The sequence below is a fragment of the Homo sapiens genome, chromosome 6 (genome assembly GCF_000001405.40).
Source record: "Homo sapiens chromosome 6, GRCh38.p14 Primary Assembly".
Taxonomy (NCBI): domain Eukaryota; kingdom Metazoa; phylum Chordata; class Mammalia; order Primates; family Hominidae; genus Homo; species Homo sapiens.
The window spans coordinates 143913604-143938692 of record NC_000006.12 but is presented as its reverse complement, the minus strand read 5'-3'; the positions used below and the strand labels follow the sequence as shown (position 1 = coordinate 143938692).

Sequence of the window (25089 nt, the reverse complement as noted above, 5' to 3'; positions counted from 1 at the left end):
CACAGGATGGAAGATTTTGGTAATCTTTTCTCTTCCACTTCAGTGTTTCCTCCCAGATATGGTCTGTGTGATTGGTATGTGTCAGACACTTCTACACAGTATATACATAAACATTTAAAACAAATATAATAGCTATAATTTAATACTTACTAGATACCAATATCAAAACTGAGATTTCACAGCTAGTATATAAAATGAAGCCAGTTAAAGAAAGATTTTCCTAGTAAGTAAATAATGTTAGTATTCCAATTACTAGTCTACTAAAAAGGTTCTAATATCAAAGCAACATTGTCTTTAAAAACCCATCAAATGTCCAATTAAACTTCAAGTGAATTTGAATCATGCATTATACAGGTTGATGTGTTTAATGCTTTTGTTTTGAAAACTTCAAAGGGAGTAAATAAAAATCTGAAGCAAGTTTTACTTGTTCTAAGTGATGCTTCAAGAAGAATCAAGGGTGTAAAAACAGACATCACATCTACCGTTCCTTCCCCTTAGGTGGCATTCTCGGGTACGCAACCATCCAGGCTGATGGGTTTCAGGGAGGCAGTCTGAAAGCAGAAAGAAGAGGCATTTACTTTAGAATGTCATTGTTTCCACATTGAGAATGCTAAATAACATAGGCCTCTTCAGACTTTTAATTATTTTACAAACAATTCACACCCTCAGGGAACTATTCTTTGTGAGGGTAAGGTGCTTAGAAAAAGGGAAAAGGCAGTAACCTTTCAGGTCAAAAGTGAGGGATCATTCCCCTTTCCTATTAAGTCATGAATCAAAAACTGAATATCCTCTTTAAACTGTATGTTTAACAGCAGAGTCAGTTTCAAGAGCATACATTTTGTTAACCCAACTTGGAGTTTGTCCAGATGTCTCTTCAGTTTGCTTACTATGCATCCATTCTCTTAAAAGTCATTAACTGGTCAGCAACAGCTGGATTAGCGGTGATTTTTTTTTCTTACCTGGCTTCTAGGAGTTAATCTTTTTTAGAAGATTTACTAAATCCTTGTCTGAGTTTTGCTCCAGAAGCAGGGTCCATAGCTAATCCTTTGCAAACATAAACAGATTTGTTATTATGTCAAAGCAGAACATTACCAAGAAAAAAAGACATGATTGTGAAATCCCCACATGGGTTCAAAAGTTTCTATTCTTCCTTTTTTTTGGTGGGAGGTGGGGGAGTGTGGTGGGGAGGGCAATGAGGGTGGGGTAGCTACAGACAAATAACCAAATAAGGAAAACAGGGGCTACCTCAGGTGCCTTCTTTCCTCTGCCCCTAACCTCTGTTTATTCATGGACTTTGGACTGCACCTCAAGTGACCCACCCTTTATACACTAGGACTTTCGACATCCCCTCCGCTATTGCCCCAGCTTTCAAAATGGACCCTGATATTTTGGATCTTCAAATTATTTGCTAGCTCTCACATGAGAAGACTTTGCTAAGCCTTACGGAAGCATAAGCTGCCTTCCCTGCTTAGGGTTATCTACGTGACAATGGATTCATTCCACAAACAGTATTCTTTTCCCTTGAGCCCAGCAGTGTTGTTAGGTATGGAGATACACAAGTTTATGGATATGGGCACACCACACCATGGCTTAGTTTTGACCACATCGTAGGGGACAGGATTCTCAGAGGTTCTTTTTTTTGTTAAAAAATAAAAAAGGAACAAGTCCCCTCTGTCCTAAGAAGCCTCCTTTCTACTCAGTGTTTTATGAAGGAGCAATAACAAGGAAATTGTGAATCAAACTCTCAAAGGACATAGGAATAGAAAGAGCTTTCAGTGTTAGTTTTACTGAAACATAAACTGGTTTTACTTCTGCCAAAGAATCCACAACTGTGATGCTCAACAGGTTTGCTACACAACTAAATTAGGTAAAGAATGGAATGCTAGTGCAGGTAAAATGCTTAACTTGATAAAAATCCACTGGCTCCAGAAGTAAAGTAGAGCCCACACCAGCAAAGCTGTACAAATGCAATCCACTACTAAATATACAAAGCAATGCAGGTCTAGATCCCAGAACTACATGCTCATAGTGACATTAGTCTCTGTACGAAGATCTCAGAGAAGCAGCTTCTTGGCAGTACCTTCCAGTATATCCATCATTCATATAACAAAAGCCTCCAGAAAACAGCCATCAGTACATATTTGCTGACTAGGCTATACACTCATTCCCCATCTGAACATTAGAATCTTTTAGGAATGCGAGAAGAGCCACTTCTTTTTCTAAAATAATTTCCAAATATGTATCAATAGCCTTAATATTTATATTTTTGGACCCATTTTTCCCAAAACGTACAAAGCTCTGCTCCTTCCTATTAAATAGCTTGCCCATGTTGCTTAACCTCTCTGTGCTTTCCTCATCTGTAAAATAGAGATATGAATAGTACATCGACCTCCTCACGCTATTGTGAGAATTAAATGAGTTCATACGCCAGTTGCTTAACTGGCATGGTAACTTCACTTAATACCAGGTGCTCTTTTTGTATTAGAAGTTTTCCTGTGCATGCTATGTCTTCTCATAAGACTCTGGGATCAATAAGGCTGTTGACTTGTACACACATGTGTCTCCTCTGGTATGAATTTTAAAACTGTTATATGTGGGAGGTACAAGATACTAAATGCTTATTTTACTCAAGAGAGTTGAAGGATGAAAGCCCGAGTTTTAGGAGGCTAACTGCTATCTAGATGAAAGACAACAACTAGATTTATAATATATGATACCATAAGTAGATATTACTTAAAAAAGAAGACAGGGGCAGTGGCTCACACCTGTAATGCCAATACTTTGAGAGGCCAAGGCAGGAGGATTGCTTGAGCCTAGGAGTTCAAGACCAGTCTGGGAAACATAATACCTCACCTCTACAAATAAAAAAAATTATCTGGGTATGGTGGTACATGCCTGTCATCCCATATACTCAGGAGGCTGAGGTGAGAGGGTCACTTGTACCCAGGAAGTCAAGGCTGTAGAGAGCTTTGATCAAGCTACTGCACTATAGCCTGGGCGACAGAGAGATCCTGTCTCAAAAAAAAAAAAAAAAAAAAAAAAAAAAGAGTGATACCAAGTGGCCTAAACTACTGATTGTCAATCTGAATATATTAATAGCAATAACAAAAAACCCAACAACAACAATTTTTAAAGACCTTTATTTTTATATAGCATTGTATAATGAAAAGAAAAAAAAAGACCCTTATGAGCTGCCCTGACCCCTGCCACAGAAACCCATGCAAACCCTCACTGGGCCTGAGGACAGGGCCACCCACCCTGCTGGCACCAATGGACACTGACTGGGAGCCTGGAGATTGAGCAGCCCTGACCATCACAGCCTGTGCTTGTGCCCACCATTGGGAAGCTGATGACAGGCTTGACCCATGTGGTGTCATGCCCACCAGTGCTTCTGTGCATTGTTGGGGCCTGGGGATCAACCCACCCTGCCTGTGGTCAGCTCACCCTGCCTGTGGTCAGCTTCTACCCACCCCTACCAGGTGCCTGAGGGTGAGTCTGCTCAGCCTATTGGTACCTGCATACATCATCCATGGACTTGGAGATTGACCCACCACCACCAGCATCTGCAGCGTCCACATACTCCTCCTAGGGGACTAAGGATGGGGCCGCCCAGCTCACTACTGCCACCACTAGTACCCTATGGATACTGCCTAGGAGCCAGAGGGTTGGTCTACCACCATCAATGTTATTGGCAACCCCATGCATGCCACCCAGGAACCTGAAGAGCCACCCACCATCGCCACTGCTGGCACCTGAGCAAGCCATCTGGAGGTCCAAAGATTGGTCTGCCTGGACCTGCTAACACCAGTGCCCACGTATGCTACCTGGGGTCCCAAGGACAGGCAGGCTCAGTCTACTGCTGCCACCACTGAGGCCTGAAGACCAGCTCACCTTGTGTCCCCATCCCCAGCAAAGCCTCACCACAGCTTCCAATAACAACTGCAGTTTAAGTCACTAAGGAATTCATAGACACCACTGATAGTAATTACAGCCAAAAAATCATGGACACGCAATTACTGTATGCTCCAGTATCAAAGCTAAAGTGCCCTACCCAACTATCACTATAGATACATATGTAGGAAGAAGTCTTTCCTATGAAGGCCAATTCAAAAATTGGAAGAAGTGACTGTTACACCAGATGCAGAGATATTGGCATAGGAACACAAGAAACATAAAAATGCAAGAAAATATGACTCCTCCAAAGGAATACAATTCTCCAGCAACAGATTGCAACAAAAAAATTGATGAAATGCCAGAAAAGGAATTCAAAATCATAATATTAAAAAAGCATATTGAAAGAGAGGGAAGATGGCAGATAGGGGACAGGGCTGATAAGTAGCTCCCACTTGGATGGACAGAACAGCGTGTGGACACTCACTCTGTGGTCGTTTGCTCCAGGAACAACTGCAGGAGCATACCAGGAAAAACAAAAGAAATCACAGATCCTTTGAAAGAAGTGGCAGGCTATTGCAAATTCTGCAAGACAGGTGAAAATTCGTAAGTTCCCAAAGTCTGAGAGGGGACACATCTGCTTCCAAGCACACGTCCCCACTGAGGAACCTGAAAAATCCAGATTACGGGAGAAGAATTTAGCCTTACCTAGAGCTGAAATTGATTTGCTGTGAAATGTAAAAGTAGAAGCAGCAGTGGGACAAGCCTTGTAGGCAGTCCCATTCTCCAGCTCAAGCCCAGGGAAGCCATCCCTGACTCTATCTCACAAGAGCCCTCGGGGAAGGCAACTGGCAGAATTTGAGAGGGGTCACAGGGTGAAAGAAGCTTCCAACTGAACTTTGTAATAATTTTGACTGGGTGCAAACCCTCTTGAGAAGAATCTGGGGGCAAACAGGAACTGTTGCAGAAAGCACAGTGGAGATGCGGCTGACAGTGTGGCAGATTGGCAAAGGTGTGGCCTGAAAGCAGTGCTTGCTTCCTCAGTGGGGAAACTTAGAGCCTGGGACTAGATCTGAGTCCCAGGCTGCAGGCTGCCTAGAGATAAACTTGGCACGGTTAGCAGGGCACGGTGGGAGTGAGACTGGCCTTGCCAACTGTGTGGGAGCTGGGTGAGGCCTGTTGCTACCAGCTTTCGCCCACTTCCCTGGTGACAGAGGCAGCCATAATTCCCTCTGGAACATAACTCCATTGGCCCAAGAACCATCCCCTGATCTCCCCACAGTGGCCACAGCAACCCCCACCCAAGGAGAGTCTGAGCTCAAACCTACCTAATCCTGCCTGCACCTGATAGTATTTCTCTACCCGGTCCAATAGTGAATCACAAAAGACATAAACTCTTGGGAGCTTTATGATCCCATCCATCACCTGAGAAGCCTGAATACTTGTCCTGGCCAAATTAGAGCAAGCTTATATCCCCCTCTACTATTGCAGCTGGCTGGCGCACTCTCAAAAGCACCACCTCCTGGCTCAAGGTTAACCAACTCAGAACATTATAGCAACTCATAACAGAACAACCCTGCTCTAATGAAGGAAAAAACAGCAGCTAATTCCACTGCCTGAAACATCCTGGCTAACCAGTGGTCCCGAGTCTGTCCACATGACAACTTCGCTGCTAGCATAACCAGCATTCAAGAAAGACAACACAGTAAACATATTTACAACCAAGGACTCTCACAGAGTCTACCTGACTCCCCTGCCACCTCCATCAGAACAGGTGCTGGTATCCACGGCTGGTAGACCCGAAGACAAATTGCATCACAGGACTCGGCAGACATTCCCCAGAACCAGCCAATAGCCTGGTAGCCCTGCTGAGTGGCTAGACCTAGAATAGCAAGAACAATCACCACAATCTGGCTCCTAGGGAAAGGGGGAGGGTACCACATCAAGGGTTCACCCTGTGGGACAAAAGAATCTGAACAGCTGCCCTTGAGTTCCAGATTTTTCCACTGAAATAGTGTATCCAAATGAGAAAAAAATCAGAAAAGCAATTCTGGCAATATGACAAAACAAGGTTCTATAACACCCCCAAAAGACCACACCAGCTCCCCAGCAATGGATCCAAACCAAGAAGCAATCTCTGAACTGCCAGATAAAGAATTCAGAAGGCTGATTATTAAGCTACTCAAGGAGATACCAGAGAAAGGTAAAAGCCAACTTAAATAAATTTCAAAGACAATACAGGATATGGAGGAAAAATGCTTCAGAGAAACAGATATCATAAAGAAAAAACAATCACAACTTCTGGAAATGAAAGACACACTTAGAGAAATACAAAATGCACTGGAAAGTTTCCACAATAGAATCAAACAAGTAGAAGAAAGAACTTTAGAGCTTAAAGAAAAGGCTTTCAAAGTAACCCAATGAGACAAAGACAAAGAAAAAACATTTCTTTTAAATGATCAAAGCCTCCAAGAAGTTTGAGATTATGTTAAACAGCCAAACCTAAAATAATTGGTGTTCCTGGCGAAGAAGAGAAATCTTCTTGGAAGACATATTTGTGATGATAATTGAGGAAAACTTCCCTGAGCTCACTAGAGATCTAGACATCTAAATATGAAGTTCAAAGAGGCTAGGTGCAGTAGCTCACATCTGTAATCCCAGCACTTTGGGAGGCCAAGGTGTGAGGATCACCTGAGGTCAGGAGTTCGAGACCAGCCTGGCTAACATGGTGAAACACTGTTTCTACTAAAAATACTAAAAATTAGCTGGGTGTGGTGGTGCACACCTGTAGTGCCTGTAATCCTAGCTACTTGGGAGGCTGAAGCAGGAGAATCGCTTGAACCTGGGAGGTGGAGGTTGCAGTGAGCCGAGATCATGCCATTGCACTCCAGCTTTGGGCAACAAAAGTGAAACTCCGTTAAAAAAAAAAAAAAAAAAGAAGAAGAAGAAGAAGTTCAAAGAACACCTTGGAAATTCATCACAAAAAATAATCACCTAGGCAAACAGTCATCAGGTTATCAAAAGTCAAGACAAAGGAAAGAATCTTAAGAGCTCTGAGGCAAAAGCATCAGGTAACCTATAAAGGAAAAGATATCAGATTAACAACAGATTTTTCAGCAGAAACCCTATAAACCAGATGGGATTGGGGTATTATCTTTTGCCTCCTCAAACAAAATAATTGCCAGCCAAGACTTCTGTGTCCAGCAAAACTAAGCATCATAAATGAAGGAGAGATAAAGTCTTTTTCAGACAAACAAATGCTGAGAGAATTCACCACTACCATGCCAGCACTACAAGAACTGCTAAAAGGAGCTTTAAACCTTAAAACCTCCAAATACACCAAAATAGAACCTCTTTAAAGCATAAATCTCACAGGGCCTATAAAACAATAATGAAATGAAAAAAGCAAAACAAACAACAACAAAAAACCCACAAGGTATTTGGGCAACATCTAGCATGAAGAATAAAACAGTACCTGACATCTCAAAAATAATGCTGAATGTAAATGGCCTAAATGCTTCACTTAAAAGGTAAAGAATGGCAGAATGGACAAAAATCCACCGATGAAGTATCTGTTGTCTTCAAGAGACTCAGCTAATGCATAAAGACTCACATAGACTTAAGGTAAAGGAGTGGAAAAAGATATTCCATGCAAATGGAAACCAAAAGCAAGCAGGAGTAGCTATTCTCATATCAAACAAAACAGACTTTAAAACAAGAACAGTTAAAAAAGACAAAGAGAGACATTATATAATTATACAAGGACCAGTCCAATGGAAAATACCACAATCCTAAGAAAAGAGATGCATTACACTAATAGTGGGGACTTCAGCACTCTACTGACAGCACCAAACAGATCATCAAGACAGAAAAATCAACAGAGAAGCACTGGACTTAATCACTGTAGACCAAATGGACCTTACAGACATTTACAGAATATTCTACCCAATAACTGCAGAATATACATTATTCTCATCAGTGCATGGAACATTCTCCAAGATAGACAACATGTTATGCAACAAAATAAGCCTCAGTACATTTTAGAAATTGAAATCATATCAAGTATCTTCTGAGACCACAGTGGAATAAAACTATAAAGTGATTCCAAAAGAAACTCTCAAAACTGGCTGGGCGCGGTGGCTCACGCTTGTAATCCCAGCACTTTGGGAGGCCGAGGCAGGCAGATCACAAGGTCAGGAGATCGAGACCACGGTGAAATCCCGTCTCTACTAAAAATATAAAAAAAATTAGCCGGGCGTGGTGGCGGGCGCCTGTAGTCCCAGCTACTCGGAGAGGCTGAGGCAGGAGAATGGCATGAACCCAGGAGGCGGAGCTTGCAGTGAGCTGAGATCGCACCAATGCACTCCAGCCTGGGCGACAGAGCAAGACTCCGTCTCAGGAAAAAAAAAAAAAAAAAAAAGAAACTCTCAAAACTATACAAATACATGAAAGTTAAACAACCTGCTCCTGAATGATTTTTGGGTCAATGACAAAAGACAAAAATTTACATTTTTGAAACAAAAGGAAACAGAGACACAACATATCAAAACCTTTGACAAACAGCAAAAGCAGTATTAGCATTAAACACCTACATTAAAAAAAGAAAGATCCTGAATTAACATCATAATGTTACACATCAAGAAACAAAAGAAACAAACCAAACCCAAAGCTAGCAGAAGAAAAGAAATGACAAAGCTCAGAGCAGAACTAAATGAACTTGAGACCAAAAACACAATACAAAAGATCAACAAAACAAAAAGTTGTTCATTTGAAGAAATAAACAAGATTGGTAGACCACTAGGTCAACTAACCTAGGAAGGAAGAAAGAAGATTCAAATAAGCACAATCAGAAAAGAAAAAGGAGACATTACAACTGATACTACAGAAATGCAAAAGATCATCAGAGACTACTATGACTATTTATATGCTCACAAACTGGAAAATTTAGAGGAAGGGGATAAATTTGTGGAATCTATACAACCTCCCAAGATTGAACCAGGAAGAAATAGAAATCCTGAGCAGAACAATAATAAGTAGTGAGATATGATTAGTAATTTAAAAATATCTCCCCCAAATAACAACAACAACAACAACAAAAGAGCCCAGGAGCAGACAGATTCACAGCCAAATTTTATCAGACATAAAAGAAGTGCTACCAATCCAACTGAAACTGTCCCAAAACACTGAAGAGGAGGGACTCTTCCCTAATTCTACAAAGTATCACTTTGCTACCAACATCAGTAGAGAACACAACAAAAAAAGAAAATTACAGACTAATACCTTTCATGAACATAGGTGCAAAATTCCTTAACAAAATACAAGCAAACAAAATCATACAGCACATCAAAAAGATAATACAATATGATCAAGTGGGTTTTGCAAGGGATGCAAGGTTGGTACAACATATGCATATCAATAAATGTGATTCATCACATCAAGTGAATGAAAAACAAAAACCATATTATCATCTCAATAGATTAGAAAAAGCATTTGATAAAATTGACCATCCTATCATGATGCCCTCAACAAACAAGGCATAGAAGGAACATACCTCAAAACAATAAAAGCCATGTATAACAAACCCACAGCCAATAACACACTGGGAAAAAGTTGAAAGAATTTCCCTTAAGAACTAGAACAAGACAAGTATGTCCATGTTCACCACTGCTATTCAGCACAGTACAGGAGGTCCTAGCCAGAGCAATCAGGCAAGAGAAAAAAATAAAAGCCATCAAAATGGGAAAAGAGGAAGTCAGATTATCTTTGTTTGCTGATGAAATGATCTTATATCTAGAAAACCCTAAAGACTCCTCTCCAAAAGACTGCTAGATTTGATAAATGAATTCAGTAAAGTTCCAGGATACAAAATCGACAAAAATCAGTAGCATTTCTATACAGCAATAATAATCATGCTAAGAACCAAATCAAAAGTCAATCCCATTTCCAATAGTTAAAAAAAAAAGAACAAAAAAAAAAACCCTAGGAATACATTTAAACAAGGAGTGATAGATGTCTACAAGGAAAACTACAAAATACTGATGAAAGAGAGTTAAGAGGACACAAATAAATGGGAAAACATTCCATTCTCACAGATTAGAAGAATCAATGTTGTTAAAATGACCACATTGCCCAAAGCAATCTACAGACTTAACAGAATTCCTATCAAAATAGCAATGACATTTTTCACAGAATTAGAAAAAAAAAATCCTAAAATTCATATGGAACTGAAAAGAACCCAAATAGCAAAAGCAGGCATCACATTACCTAACTCCACATTATACTATAAGTCTATAGTAATCAAACAGCATGGTACTGGTATAAACATAGACATATAGATCAACAGAACAGAATAGAAGACCCAGAAATAAAGCCACATACCTATAGCCAACTGATATTCGACAAAGTTGACAAAAACATACATCAGAGAAAGGACACCCTACTCAATAAACGGTGCTGGGAAAATTGTATAGCCACATGCAAAAGAATGAACTGGATTTATCTGTCATCATATACAAAAATTAAGATGAGTTAAAGACTGAAATGTATGATGCGAAAACTAAAAATTCTACAAGAAAACCTAGGAACAACTCTTCTGGACATTGGCCTACACAAAGAATTCAAGACTAAGATTTCAAAGCTAATGCACCAATTACAAATATAGACAAATGGGACTTAATTAAACAAATGCTTCTGTAGAGTAAAAGAAATAGACAGACAAGAACAGACAACCTGCAGAATGGGAGAAAATATTTGCAAACTGTGCATCTGACAAGGGACTAATATCTGGAATCTACAAGGAATTCAAACAAGTCAACAACAACAAAAAGCATTAGGAAGTGAGCAAAGAACATAGACATTTTTCAAAAGTAAACATAAAAATGCCCAAAAAGCATATGAAAAAATATTCAACATCACTAATCATCAGAGAAATGCAAATTTAAACCATGAGGTGCCATCTTATACCAGTCAGAATGGCTACTGTTAAAAAGTCAAAAAATAACAGATGTTGGCAAAGATGCAGAGAAAAGGGAACACTTATAAATGTTGGTAGAAATGTAAATTAGACAACTTCTATGGAAAACAGTATAGAGATTTCTCAAAGAATTAAAAATAGAACTACCCTTTGATCCAGCAATCCAACTACTGGGCATATACTCAAAGGAAAAGAATCATTTTATCAAAAAGATACATGCACTCATGTTTATCACAGCACTAGTCATGACAGATACCGAATCAACCTAAATAACCATCAATGGATGATTGGATAAAGAAAATGTGGTAAATATATATATGGAATACTATGTATCCATGAAAAAAATAATATAATGTCTTTTGCAGCTACATGTATGGATTTGGAGGCCATTATCTCAAGTAAAATAACAAAAACAGAAAGCAAAATACTGCATGTTCTCACTTCTAAATGAAAGATAAATAGTATGCACACATGGACATACAGATTGGAATAACAGGTATTAGAGACTTGGAAAGGTGGGAAGGTGGGAGGCGGGTAAGGGATGAAAAATTACCTAATGGGTACAATAAACACTATTCAGGTGATGGTTACACTAAAAGCCCAGACCTCAACACTACGCAATATACCCATGTAACAAAGCTGTATTTGTACCCCCTAAATCTATTATAAATAAATAAACAAGGTCACCATATAATGATAAAGGGATTCGTTCGGTAAGAAGATACAATTCGGGCCGGGCGCGGTGGCTCACGCCTGTAATCCCAGCACTTTGGGAGGCCGAGGCGGGTGGATCATGAGGTCAGGAGATCGAGACCATCCTGGCTAACAAGGTGAAACCCCGTCTCTACTAAAAATACAAAAAATTAGCCGGGCGCCTGTAGTCCCAGCTACTCGGGAGGCTGAGGCAGGAGAATGGCGTGAACCCGGGAAGCGGAGCTTGCAGCGGCCTGGGCGACAGAGCGAGACTCCGTCTCAAAAAAAAAAAAAAAAAAAAAAAAAAGAAGATACAATTCTAAATATATATGAACTTAACACCAGAACATCCAGTTATATATAGCAAATATTATTAGATCTGAAGGGAGAGATAGACTCCAATACAATAATAGTTGAAGACTTCAACACCCTACTCTCTATATTAGACAGATCGTCAAGACAGAAAATCATCAAAGGAACATTAGATTTAAATTGCACTTCAGATCAACGTACCTAAAAGACATGCATGGAATATTTTATCCAATAGCAACAGAATATACATTCTTCTCATCAACACATGGAACATTCTCTAGTATAGACCATATGCTAGGCCACGAAGCAAGTCTAAATTTAAAAAAAAAATCAAAATCATATCAAATACCTTTCAGATCACAATAGGATAAAACTAGAAATCAATAACAACAGGAACTTTGGAAACTATACAAATACATGGAAATTAAATAACATGCTTAACAGCCATTGGGTCAATGAAGAAGACAGAAGGAAATAAACGTCTTGAGACAAATGAGAATGGAAACACAACATATCAAAACCCATGGGATGTAGCAAAAGAAGTGCTAAGAGGGAATTTCATAGCAATAAATGCGTATATCAAGAAGTAGAAACATTTCAAATAATCAAGCTAAGGATGCCCCCTCAATAACTAGAAAAGCAAGAGCAGACCAAATCCAAAATTAGCGGAAGGAAAGAAACAATAAAGATCAGAGCAGAACTAAATGTAATAGAGACTTTAAAAAAAAATACAAAGGTCAATGGAATGAAAAGTTAGTTTTTTGAAAAGATAAACAAAATTGATAAATCACTAGCTAGACTAACCAAGAAAATAAGAGAGAGGATGTGAATTAGCAAAATCACAAACAAAAAGGGAGACATTACAACTGATACCACAGAAATACAAGAAATCATCAGAGACTTATAAAGAACTATATGCTAACAAATTAGAAAAGCTAGAGGAAATGGATAAATTCCTGGACACATACAATCTACTAAGAATAAATCAGGGCTGGGCACCGTGGCTCATGCCTGTAATCCCAGCACTTTGGGAGGCCAAGGTGGGCTTCCTGAGGTCAGGAGTTCGAGACCAGCCTGACCAACATGGAGAAACCCCATCTCTACTAAAAATACAAAAAAATTAGCCTGGTGTGATGGCGCATGCCTATAATCCCAGCTACTCGGGAGACTGAGGCAGGAGAATTGCTTGAGCACGGGAGGCGGAGGTTGCGGCGAGACGAGATCGCGCCACTACACTTCAGCCTGGGCAACAAGAGCGAAACTCCGTCTCAAAAAAAAAAAAAAAAAGAAAAGAAAAGAATGAATAAGGAAGAAAGAGAAAACCTGAATAGACCAATAACAAGTAATGGGCTGGGAGCAGTGGCTCACACCTGTAATCTCAGCACTTTGGGAGGCCGTAGGCAGGCGGATCACGAAGTCAGGAGATCGAGACCATCCTGGCTAACAAAGTGAAACCCCGTCTCTACTAAAAATACAAAAAATTAGCCAGGCATGGTGGCGGGTGCCTATACTCCCAGCTGCTCGGGAGGCTGACGCAGGAGAATGGCGTGAACCCGGGAGGCGGAGCTTGCAGTGAGGGGAGATCGCACCACTGCACTCCAGCCTGGGCGACAGAGTGAGACTCTGTCTCAAAAAAAAAAAAAAAAAAAAAAAAAAAAGGAATGAGATTGAATCAGTAATAAAAAGTCTCCCAACAAAGAAAAGCTCAGCACCGGATGTCTTTACTTCCAAATGCTATCAAACTTGTAAAGAAAAACTAACACATATTCTTCTCAAACTATTTCAGAAAATTCAAAGGAGGAAATTCTTCCTTACTCATTCTGTGAGGCCAGTATTACCCTGATACCAAAACCAGACAAGGACATAATGGAAATAGAAAACTACAGGCCAATACCCCTGATGAACACAGACACAAAAAAGCTTCAACAAAATACTAGCAAAGTGAATCCAACAGCACCATAAAAGGATAATACATCAGATGAAAGGATGGTTCCACCCATGCAAGTCAATAAATGTGATACCTCACAACAACAGAATGAAAGACAAAAACAATATGATCATTTCAAGAGACAGAGAAAAGGAATTTTATAAAATTCAACTTCTTTTCATGATTAAAACTCTTAACAAATTAGGCATAGAAGAAACATGCCTCAGCATAGTAAAGGTCATATCTGACAAATGCATAGCTAACATAATACTGAGTGGGGAGAAGCTGAAAGACCTGTAACAAGACATTGGATACCCAGTTCCACCACTTCATTTTTATTATTTATTTAGAGATAGGGTCATCACTTTTATTCAACATAGTACTGGAAGTCCTTGCCAGAGCAATCAGGCAAGAGAAATAAATAAATGTCATCTAAATTGGAATAGAGGAAGTCAAACTGTCCCTCTTTGTAGATAACATGGATATATGTGTGTGTGTGTATTATATATACATGGATATATATATGTAATACATATATATATATATAAAACCTAAAGACTCCACCAAAAACACTCCTAGAATAAATGAATTTAGTAAAATTGCAGGATACAAAATCAACATATAAAAATCAGCAGCATTTCTATGTGCCAATAATAAACTGGCTAAAAAAGAAAACAATCTCATTTACAATAGCTACAAAAAATAAAATACTTAGGAATAAATTAAACCAAGAAAGTGAAAGACGCTTACGAGGAAAACTTCAAAACACTGATGAAAGAATGTTAAGAGGACACAAACAAATGGAAAGATATCCCATGCTCATGACTCAGAAGAATTACTATTGTTAAAATGACCATACTACCCAAAGCAATCTACAGATTCAATGTAATCCCTATCAAAACACCAATGACATTCTTTATATAAATACAAAAAAATCCTAAAATTTGTATAGAACCATTAAAGAGCTCAAATAGCCATAGTGTTCCTGAGTAAAAAAAAACAAAGCTGGAGGCATCACATACCTGATTTCAAAATATATTAAAAAGCTGTAGTAACTAAAACAGCAAGATATTGGTATAAAAACAGACACATAAACCAATGAAACAGAATAGACACTCCAGGAATACATGCATGTATTTACAGCTAACTGATTTTCAACAAAGCCATTAAGAATATAAATTGGGGAAAGGCATCCTCTTCAATAATGGTACAGGGAAAACTGGATATCCAAGTACAGAAAAATGAAACTAGATCCCTATGTCTCACAATATACAAAAATCAACCCAAAATTGATGAAAGACTTAAACATAAGACCCAAAACTATGAAACTACTAGAAGAAAATAGGGAAAATGCTCTCAGACATTGGTCTAGGCAAAAAATTTGTGGCCATGACTTCAAAAGCACAGGCAACAAAAATAAAATAAACAAATGGGACTATATAAACTAAAAAGCTTCTATGCAGCAAAGGAAGCAATCAACAGAGTGAGAAGGACAACATGCTAAATAGGAGAAAATATTTGCAAACCATTCATCTCCCAAGGAACTAATATTCAGAATAAGCAAGGAACTCAAACAACTTTTTGTGTTTTTTATCTAACACAACACATATACCTGAGGAATTCAAACAACTTAACAGCAAAAAAACTAATAATCCCATGAAAAAGTGGGCAAAGGATCTGAGTAGGCATTTCTCAAAAGAAGACATACCTCTCTCACCCCTGGTTACAGGGAAAAAAAAAAGGACTTAAAAATGGACAACAGGTATATGGAAAAAATGTTCAACATAATTAATTATCAGGGAAATGCCAATCCAAGACGCAATGAGACAAAATCTTACCCTTGTTAGAATGGCTCTTATCAAAAAGGCAAGAAATAACAGATGCTTGTGAGGATGCGGAGAAAAGGGAACTCTATATTATACACTGTTGGTTGGAAAGTAAATTAGTACAGCCCTTGCAGAAGACAGAATGAAGTTTCCTCAACAAACTAACAATACAACTAACACAAAATCTAGTAATCTCACTCTTGGGTATTTATTCAAAGGAAAGGAAATCAGTATATCAAAGGGATACCCATATCCTCTTGTTTATGGCAGGACTATTCACAATAGCAACATATGAAATCAATCTAAATGTTCATTAATGGATGAATGAATAAAACATGTGAATAAAATTTGAAAAAAAGAAAATGTGGTATATATACTCAGTGGAATACTATTCAGCCACAAAAAAAGAATGATATCCTGTCATTTGCAGCAATGTGTATGGAACTAGAGGTCATTATTGTTAAATGAATTAAGCCAGACACAGAAAGACAAATATCACATGTTCTCATTCATATGTGGGAGCTAAAAAAGTTGATTTCAGTGATGTAGGGAATAGAATGATAGTTACTAGAGGACGGGAAGGGTATGTGTGTGGCAGGGTGCTGGTGGAGAGGTTGGTTAGTAGGTACGAAATACAGTTAGATAGAAAGAATAAGTTCTAGTGTTTGATAGCACAGTAGGGTGACTGCAGTTAACAACAATATATTCCATATTTCAGAATAACTGGAAAAGAAGATTTGAAATGTTCCCAAGTCAAATAAATAATAAATGTTTGAGGTCATAGATATCTTAAATACCCTGATTTGATCATTACACATTTTATTCATGTATCAAAATACCACATGTATTCCATAAACATGTACAAATATTATATATCAACAAAAAGACCACATATTACAAGTAGACTAGTATCAGAACAGAACGAAGGAAATCTCACTAAGTGAGATTCTAACTAATGCATGGGCTTGTTTGTATCAACGAAAGGCATTTGGTACTTTTCTCCAAGTCCTTAAACACTTTAGAGATTCACCTTCACCCAGTATGCTTCTAATTCCTCCCCAGAATGGCTCCAAATTATATGTGACTAATTTAAAGACACATTAACCCTAGCAACTTTATTTTTATTTTTTTTAAGAGAAAAGGACTTACTTTGTCACCCAGACTGGTGTGCAGTGGCACGATCATAGCTCATTGCAGCCTTGAACACTTGTACTGGACTCAAGCAATCCTCCCACCTCAGTCTCCTGGGTAGCAAGAGCTACAAGTGGGTGCCACCACATGTAGCAAATTTTTAAATTTTTCTTGTAGAGACAGGGTCTTGCTATGTTGCCCAGGCTGGTCTTGAACTTCTGGCATCCAGTGATCCTCTGACTTTGGCCTCCCAAAGCACCGGGATTATAAATGTGAGCCACCACACCCAGCCAGCAATTATATTTTTTTACTTAAGCAAGTAGAGAGTAAGAAATTAAATTTAAAAAGCATCTTGAGCTTGAAATAAAACAAAGCTATCTCTTAAAGCTAATTAACATGATAATTCTATTCTATGATAATAATTTGAGTGTGAAATGATAGAATCAAGATTTCCACTTCTCCTCATACATTTCATTCAACAAGTATTTACTGAGTCCCTCTTGTGTGCCACAAACAACTCTAAAAAGTAGGGATATTCCAGTACAATAGAGAAAGATACAGTAGAGAATTCCCCTTTCTTGAAACTTATATTCCATTTCTTTTTGGTACATGAGAGACGAATGAGTTAAATATATATTGAATATTAGATGGTGATAAATGCTATGTGGAAATAATTACAAAGGAATTAGGGAAGGCTTGGTTAGTTTTAAATACAGAGGTTGGAGAAGTCTCACTGAGGCGACACTTTAGCAAAGAACTGAAGGAAGTGAATGAGTGAGCAGTGCAGATTACTGGGAGAGTGTTTTTGTTTTCAGCAGAGGGGGCAGCCAGTACAAAGGTCATGAGACAGGAGTGTGTATGGCTGCTATGGTCAAGGAACAACCTGGGGCCACTTGTAGCTGGAGCAGGATTAAGAAGAAACAGCATTGTATTACATTTGGGATTCGGTTTTTTTCAAAAAAGGAGAAATAGGAGAAGGTGAGCTCAGATGGTATTATGGAAACTAGTGTCAACCTTTTTTTTTTTTTTTTTTGAGACGGAGTCTCTCGCTGTGTTGTCAGGCTGGAGTGCAGTGGCGATCTTGGCTCACTGTAACCTCCGACTCCTGGGTTCAAGCGATTCTCCTGCCTCAGCCTCCCGAGTAGCTGGGATTACAGGCACGTCCCACCACACCTGGCTAATTTTTGTATTTTTAGTAGAGACGGGGTTTCACCATGTTGGCCAGGATGGTCTCGATCTCCTGACTTGTGATCTGCCTGCCTAGGCCTCCCAAAGTACTGGGATTACAGGTGTGAGCCACCACGCCCAGCCGTGTCAACCATTTTAAGAACTTTGCCTTTTACTTAGTGACATCACAGTACTTATAAATCCTCACTAACTAGTCAAGAGCAAACATAATACCATTTTGCTTATATTTACTGATCTACTAGTCTATTTTCTTATGTGTTAGAATGGTATCTTTATAATGTTCTGCTTAACATCACATACTAGGACACAGGACTTTTGATTCCTAATTTGGGACCTTTTCTCTTATGTCTTGTTGCTACTTTAAATAAATCAGTTCAAGGAAGGAAATTCTTTTCTGATTTTCAACACCGTAACTGACATGCTGTCTTTTCCCATTCACGATCTCTTTCCAAGTTTACTAAACAAGAGCTCAATGGTTCTAGACCCTCGTGTTGATTTGTTATCTAATCCTTATAACTTAAGAAATATTCCTTCTTGAGAAATAAAATTTGACCTCAAACTTAAAGGAGTGTTTTTTTCTCCTTTAAGCATTCTCATATGTATTATCTCTGGAAAATAAAAAAAAGAAACCATAATATAAAGAAATTGTTTTTTTATTTTTCTGAAGGACACTAAGCATTGTACTTTAGAAAAAAGCTTATTGGTAAAAGTTTTACCAAATGAATACACATACAATTTAAATTTTTTTTTCTTACTGAAAACTAGTATCTACCTCACTGTTAAGTTTTTCCCAAATGAGGAAAAAACTAATTACTTGTCAGAATTCTGGAAAGATAGAAGAGTAGGAAGCACCAGGAATTTGTCTCCCCTCCTAGATAACAATTGCGCTGGCACAATGTGTCCCATATAACTATTTTGGACTCTGGAGTCTATTGAAGACTTGCAACTTCCAGGGGAAGGCTTGAACAGTAAGATACAGTTAATTTCACCAATTTCAGATCTTAGCACAGCTACACATCCTCCACCCCTCAGCTGTGCTGTGTGGCAGAGCTCTGCACATATTCCTGGATCAATCTGGACATGGCCTGTGGGAGCCATGGTAGGCAAATAAGAACCCAAATAAGAATCTCTAACTATCAGAGATTTATGCTCTGATCACTGATTGTTGTTTCTGATCAAAGAGGTACAAAGAGGCAGGTGGCCATTGTTGTTGTACCTCCCATCATTGTTGTAAGCCCCTTCTGCTCTGGCTGAAGTAACTTCCAGGGGATTTAAAGGGACAGTGCCCTTCTCTCCTTTTATTTTTGTCTTTTCTCCCTTTTGGAAACTAGACATTAAAAACTACAATGTTTTTTTAAAAAACTACATATATGAGGAAATTAGAAGGTGAACATGACACACCCAGAGAAAGGCACAAGCTCAAAAATACTGAGAAGACCTTAAGTTGACACCTAAGACTGATCCTTGGCACAGAGACAGTCACATACACACACACACACACACACACACACACACACACACACACACACACACAGAGAATAGCAAACCCTGCAGAAGGGAGAATATCTAATTTCCACAGTTACATATTATTAGGTCCAAATGTCCAATTTACAACAAAGAAAATGACAAGCCAGACAAAGAAAAAGAAAAGTATAGCACCTTCAAAGAAAAAAAATCAACACAACTGTTCCCAAAAAAAGACCTGATGACAGATCTGCTAAACAGATCTATTAGACAAATACTTTTAAACAACTGAAGATGCTCAGGGAACTAAAAAAAGATGTGAAGAGACTCAAGAAAAAGATCTATGAACAAAATGGAAATATCCACGAAGATAAATCCTGAAAAGAAACCAAATAAAATTCTAGAACTGAAAAATAGAATAAATGAAATGAAAACTTTACTAGTAGGATTCAAGAATACATTTGAACAAACAGAGGAAAGACTCAGCAAACTTAAAGACAGGACAATGGAAATTATCAAGTCTGAGGAACAGAAAGAGAAAAACTTAAGGAAAGGTGAACAGAGCCTTAGGGACCTGTGGGACACTGTCAAACTGACCAACATATGCATTGTGGGAATACCTGAAGGAGCAGAGAGAGAAAAGAGCAGAGAGAAATAATGGCTGAAAACTTGCCAGATTTAACAAAAGACATGACTATAAACATTTAAGAATCATTCAAAAACTAAAAGTAAGACAAACTCAAAGAGACCAACACTGAGACACATTATAATCAAACTTTCAAAAGAAAAAGACAAAAAATAATCAGAGTAGCAAGAAAAAAAATGACCTGTCACAAACCAGGAATGTTCAATAAGATCAGCAGACTTCTCATCAGAAACCATGGAGGATGAAACACAGTGGGCCAACATATTCAAAGTGGTAAAAGAAAAAAACTGTCAACCAAAAATCTCATATACAGAAAAACTGTCCTTCAAAAAGTAAGGGAAGAGATGGGTACAGAGGTGCATGCCTCTAGTCTCAGCTACTCAGGAGGCTGGGGTAGGAGGATTGCTTGAGCCCAGGAGCTTGAGTTCAGCCTGGGCAACAAGTAAGATCCTGTCTCTTACCAAAAAAAGGCGAAGAAGAAATTAAGACATTCCCAGATAAACAAAAGCTGAGGAAGTTCATTATCATGAGACCTGCCCTGCAAGAAATACTCAAGGGAGTCCTGCAAGGTGAAGTGGGAGGATCCTAGACAGAAACTTGAAGCTGTATGAAGAAATCAAAATCTCAATAAAGGTAAATGCATGGACAATTATAAAAGCTAGTACTATTGTAATAATGGTTTGCAACTCCACTTTTTTGTTTTCTACATGATCGAAGAGACTAACACATTTTAAAAAACAATTATTAGTCTAAAAACTAGTACTGTAACTGGTTTGTAACTCCACGTTTTGTTTTATACATAATTTAAGAGACCAAATGTAGGAATTATTAGTTTACTATACAAAGCACAAATTAAGGATCCCTTATCTGAAATGCTTGGGACCAAAGTGTTGCAGATTTTTTTTTAAATTTTGGAATATTTGCATTATACTTACTGGTTGAACATCACTAATCCAAAAATCAATTGCATGTCATGTCAGTGCTCAAAAAGTTTCAGATGTTGGAGCATTTTAGATTTCAGATTTTTAGATTAGGAGCATTCAACCTGTATAAAGATGTAATTTTGTGACATCAATAACAAAATGGGTGGAAAAGACATTGCTGAAGGAGCAGTTATTGTATGTTATGAAGATAAGCTGGAATAAATTCAAATGAGAATGTGATAACATTAGGAAGTTAAATGTAGTCCCCATGGTAACTACTAAGAAAATAGTTATACATACAAAAGGAAATGAGGAAGGAATATAAATGTTTTGCTTCAAAAATCAACTAAAAACAAAAGAAGACGGTAGTATTAGTCTGTTTTCATGCTGCTGATAAAGACATATCCAAGACTGGGCAATTTACAAAAGAAAGAGGTTTATTGGACTTACAGTTCCATGTGGCTGGGAAGGCCTAACAATCACAGTGGAAGGTGAAAGGCACGTCTCACATGGCAGCAGACAAGAGAACAGAGAGCTTGTGCAGGGGAGCTCCTCTTTTTAAAGTCGTCAGATCTCATGAGACTTACTCACTATCACGAGAATAGCACAGGAAAGACTTGCCCCCATGATTCAGTTACCTCCCACTGGGTCCCTCCAAAAACACATGGGAATTCAAGATGATATTTGGGTAGGGACAGAGCCAAACTATATCATTTTGTCCCTGGCCCCTCCCAAATCTCATGTCTTCACATTTCAAAACCAATCATGCCTTCCCAACAGTCCCCCAAAGTCTTAACTCATTTCAGCATTAACGCAAAAGTCCACAATCCAAAGTCTCATCTGAGACAAGGCAAGACCCTTCCACCTATGAGCCTGTAAATCAAAAGCAAATTAGTTACTTCCTAGATACAATGGGGGTACAGGTGCTGGGTAAATACAGCCATTCCAAATGGGAGACATTGGCCAAACAAAGGGGCTATAGGCCCCACACAAATCTGAAACCCAGTGGGGCAGTCAAATCTTGAAGCTCCAAAATAATCTCCTTTGACTCCATATCTCACATCCAGGTCACTCTGATGCAAGAGGTGTACTCCCACAGCCTTGGGTAGCTCCACCCCTGGGGCTTTGTAGGATACAGCCCCTCCTGGCTGCTTTCGTGGGCTGGTGTTGAGTGTCTGCGGCTTTTCCAGGTGCACAGTGCACACTGTCAGTGGATCTACCATTGTGGGGTCTGGAGGACGGCAGCCAGCCCTCTTCTCACAGCTCCACTAGACGGTGCCCCAGTAGGGACTCTGTGTGGGGGCTCTGACCCCACATTTCCCTTCCACACTGCCCTAGCAGAGGTTCTCCATGAGGGCCCCACCCCTGCAGCAAACTTTAGCTTGGGCATCCAGGTGTTTCCATACATCTTCTGAAATCTAGACAGAGGTTCCCAAACCTCAGTTCTTGACTTCTGTGCACCCACAGGCTCAACACCACGTGGAAGCTGCCAAGGCTTGGGGCTTCCACCCTCTGAAGCAACAGCCTGAGCTGTACCTTGGCCCCTTTTAGTCAGGGCTGGAGCAGCTGGGACACAGGGCACCAAGTCCCTAGACTGCACACATCAGATGGATGCTGGGCTTGGCCCACAAAACCATTTTTTCCCCTTAAACCTCGGGCCTATGATGGGAGGTGCTGCCACAAAGGGCTCTGACATGCTGTGGAGACATTTTCCTCATTGTCTTGGGGACTAACATTCAGCTCCTCATTACCTATACAAATTTCTGCAGCCAGTTTGAATTTCTCCCCAGAAAATGGGATTTTCTTTTCTATTGCATTGTCAGGCTGCAACTTTTCCAAACTTTTATGCTCAGTTTCCCTTTTAAAACTGAATGCCTTTAACAGCACCCAAGTCACATATTGAATGCTTTGCTGCTTAGAAATTTATTCTGCCAGATACCCTAAGTCATCTCCCTGAAGTCCAAAGTTCCACACATCTCTATGGCAGGGGCAAAATGCCACCAGTCTCTTTGCTAAAACATAACAAGAGGAACCTTTGATCCAGTTCCCAACAAGTTCCTCATCTCCATCTGAGACCACTTCAGCCTGGATTTCATTGTCCGTATCACTATCAACATTTTGGTCAAAGCCATTCAACAAGTCTCTAGGAAGTTCCAAACTTTCTCACATTTTCCTGCCTTTTTCTGAGGCCTCCAAACTGTTCCAACCTCTGCCTGTTACCCTGTTCCAAAGTCACTTCCACATTTTCAGATATCTTTTCAGCAGCGCCCCACTCTACTGGTACCAATTTACTGTATTCGTCTGTTTTCATGCTGCCGAAAAAGACATACCCAAGGCTGGGCAATTTACAAAAGAAAGAAGTTTATTGGACTTACAGTTCCACATGGCTGGGAAGGCCACACAATCATGGTGGAAGGTGAAAGGCATATCTCACATGGCAGCAAAGAGACCACAGAGATTGTGCAGGGGAACTCCTCTTTTTAAAACCATCAGATCTCGTGAGACTTACTCATTGTCATAAGAATAGCACAGGGAAGACTTGCCCCCATGATTCAATTACTTCCCACTGGGTCCCTCCCACAACACGTGGGAATTCAAGATGAAATTTGGGTGAGGACACAGCCAAATCATATCAACAGTGATGCAGGAAACGAGGAACAAAAAAGCTGTAAGGCATATAGAAAACATATACCAGAATGACAAATGTCTCTCCTTATCAGTAATTACTTGAAATGTAAATCGATTAAACTGTCTAATCAATAGACAGAGATTGGCAGAATGAATAAAACTACATGCTGCCTATAAGATACTCATTTTAGATCCAAAGACAAAAATAGATTGAAATTGAAAGGATGGAAAAAGATATAGCATGCAAATAATAACCAGAGAGAGCAGAGGCCACTAATATTAGTGGCCACACTAATATTAGACAAAATAAACTTTAAGTCAAAAAAGATTACAAGACACAAAGAGGAACCTACTGACAGACCATCAAAATATATGAAGCAAAAATCAACAGAACTAAAGGGAGAAATAGACAGTTCTACAACAATAGTTGGAGACTTCAATACTCCACTCTCAACACCAACCAGATAAAGATACATAAGAAAATAGAAGATTTAATACAATAAACCAACTAGATCTAACAGACTTATTCAGAACACTCTACTCAAAAACAGCAATATATGTTTCTCAAGGGCACATGCAACATTTTCCAGAATGAACCACATGTTAGGCCACAAATTAAGTCTCAGTAAATTTAAAAAGACATATATCATATGAAGTGTCTTCTCCAACCACGGTGAGATAAAGCAGAAATAAAACTATAAAATTCATAAATTTGTGGAAATTAAACAACACACTCTTAAGCAACCAATGTTATCAAGGAAGAAATCACAAGAGAAATTAGAAAATATTTGGAGATGAATGAAGCTCAAGAAAAAACACACTGAAACTTATGGGACTTAGAAACAGCAGTGCTAAGGGGGAATTTACACCTATAAATGCTTACATTAAAAAAACAAAAAAGATCTCAAATCAACAATCCAATTTTGCAAATTAAGGAATGCGAGAAGAACAAATGAAATCAAAAGCTAGTGGAAGAAAGTAGATAATAAAGGTTAGACGGAGAGAAATGAAATCAAGAATAGAAAAATAGAGAAAAATCAATAAAACCAAAAGTTGGTTCTTTGAAAAGAATCAATAAATTGAAAAACCATTGGGAGAGGGGCCAAGATGGCCGATTAGAAGCAGCTGTGGTCCACAGCACTCACAGAAAGGAACAAAACAGGCAAGTGAATACAGCTTTCAACTGAAACATCCAGGTTCTCACACTGGGACTGATTAGGGAAACAACTCAATACACGGAGAATGAAGAAAAGTAGGGTGGCGCAATGGCCCACCAGGAGTGACATGGAGCCAAGGAAACACCCACCCCCAGCCAAGGGAAGCAATTAGTGACTATGTGACCCAGGAAACCATGCTTCTCCCATGAATCTTTGCAACCTGTGGATCAGGAGATCCCCTTGTGAGCCTATGCCACCAGAGCCTTGGATCTGTCACATAGAACTGGGTAGAGTCTTGGCAGAGCAACTGCTCAGGCACACACAGAAACC

General features: G+C 39.1%; 1 protein-coding gene across 1 annotated transcript in view; it reads right to left on the bottom strand.

Moving 5' to 3' along the window:
• Positions 350–25089, bottom strand: part of ZC2HC1B (zinc finger C2HC-type containing 1B) — a 73870-nt gene continuing 49130 nt past the window's right edge. Inside the window, exons 7-8 of the mRNA NM_001013623.3 lie at positions 960–1044; positions 350–551 (exon numbers count right to left, since the gene is read on the bottom strand). Of these exons, the coding sequence (NP_001013645.1) occupies positions 974–1044 (71 nt within the window). The 3' untranslated portion in view covers positions 350–551; positions 960–973. The remainder of the gene's footprint in view (positions 552–959; positions 1045–25089) is intronic.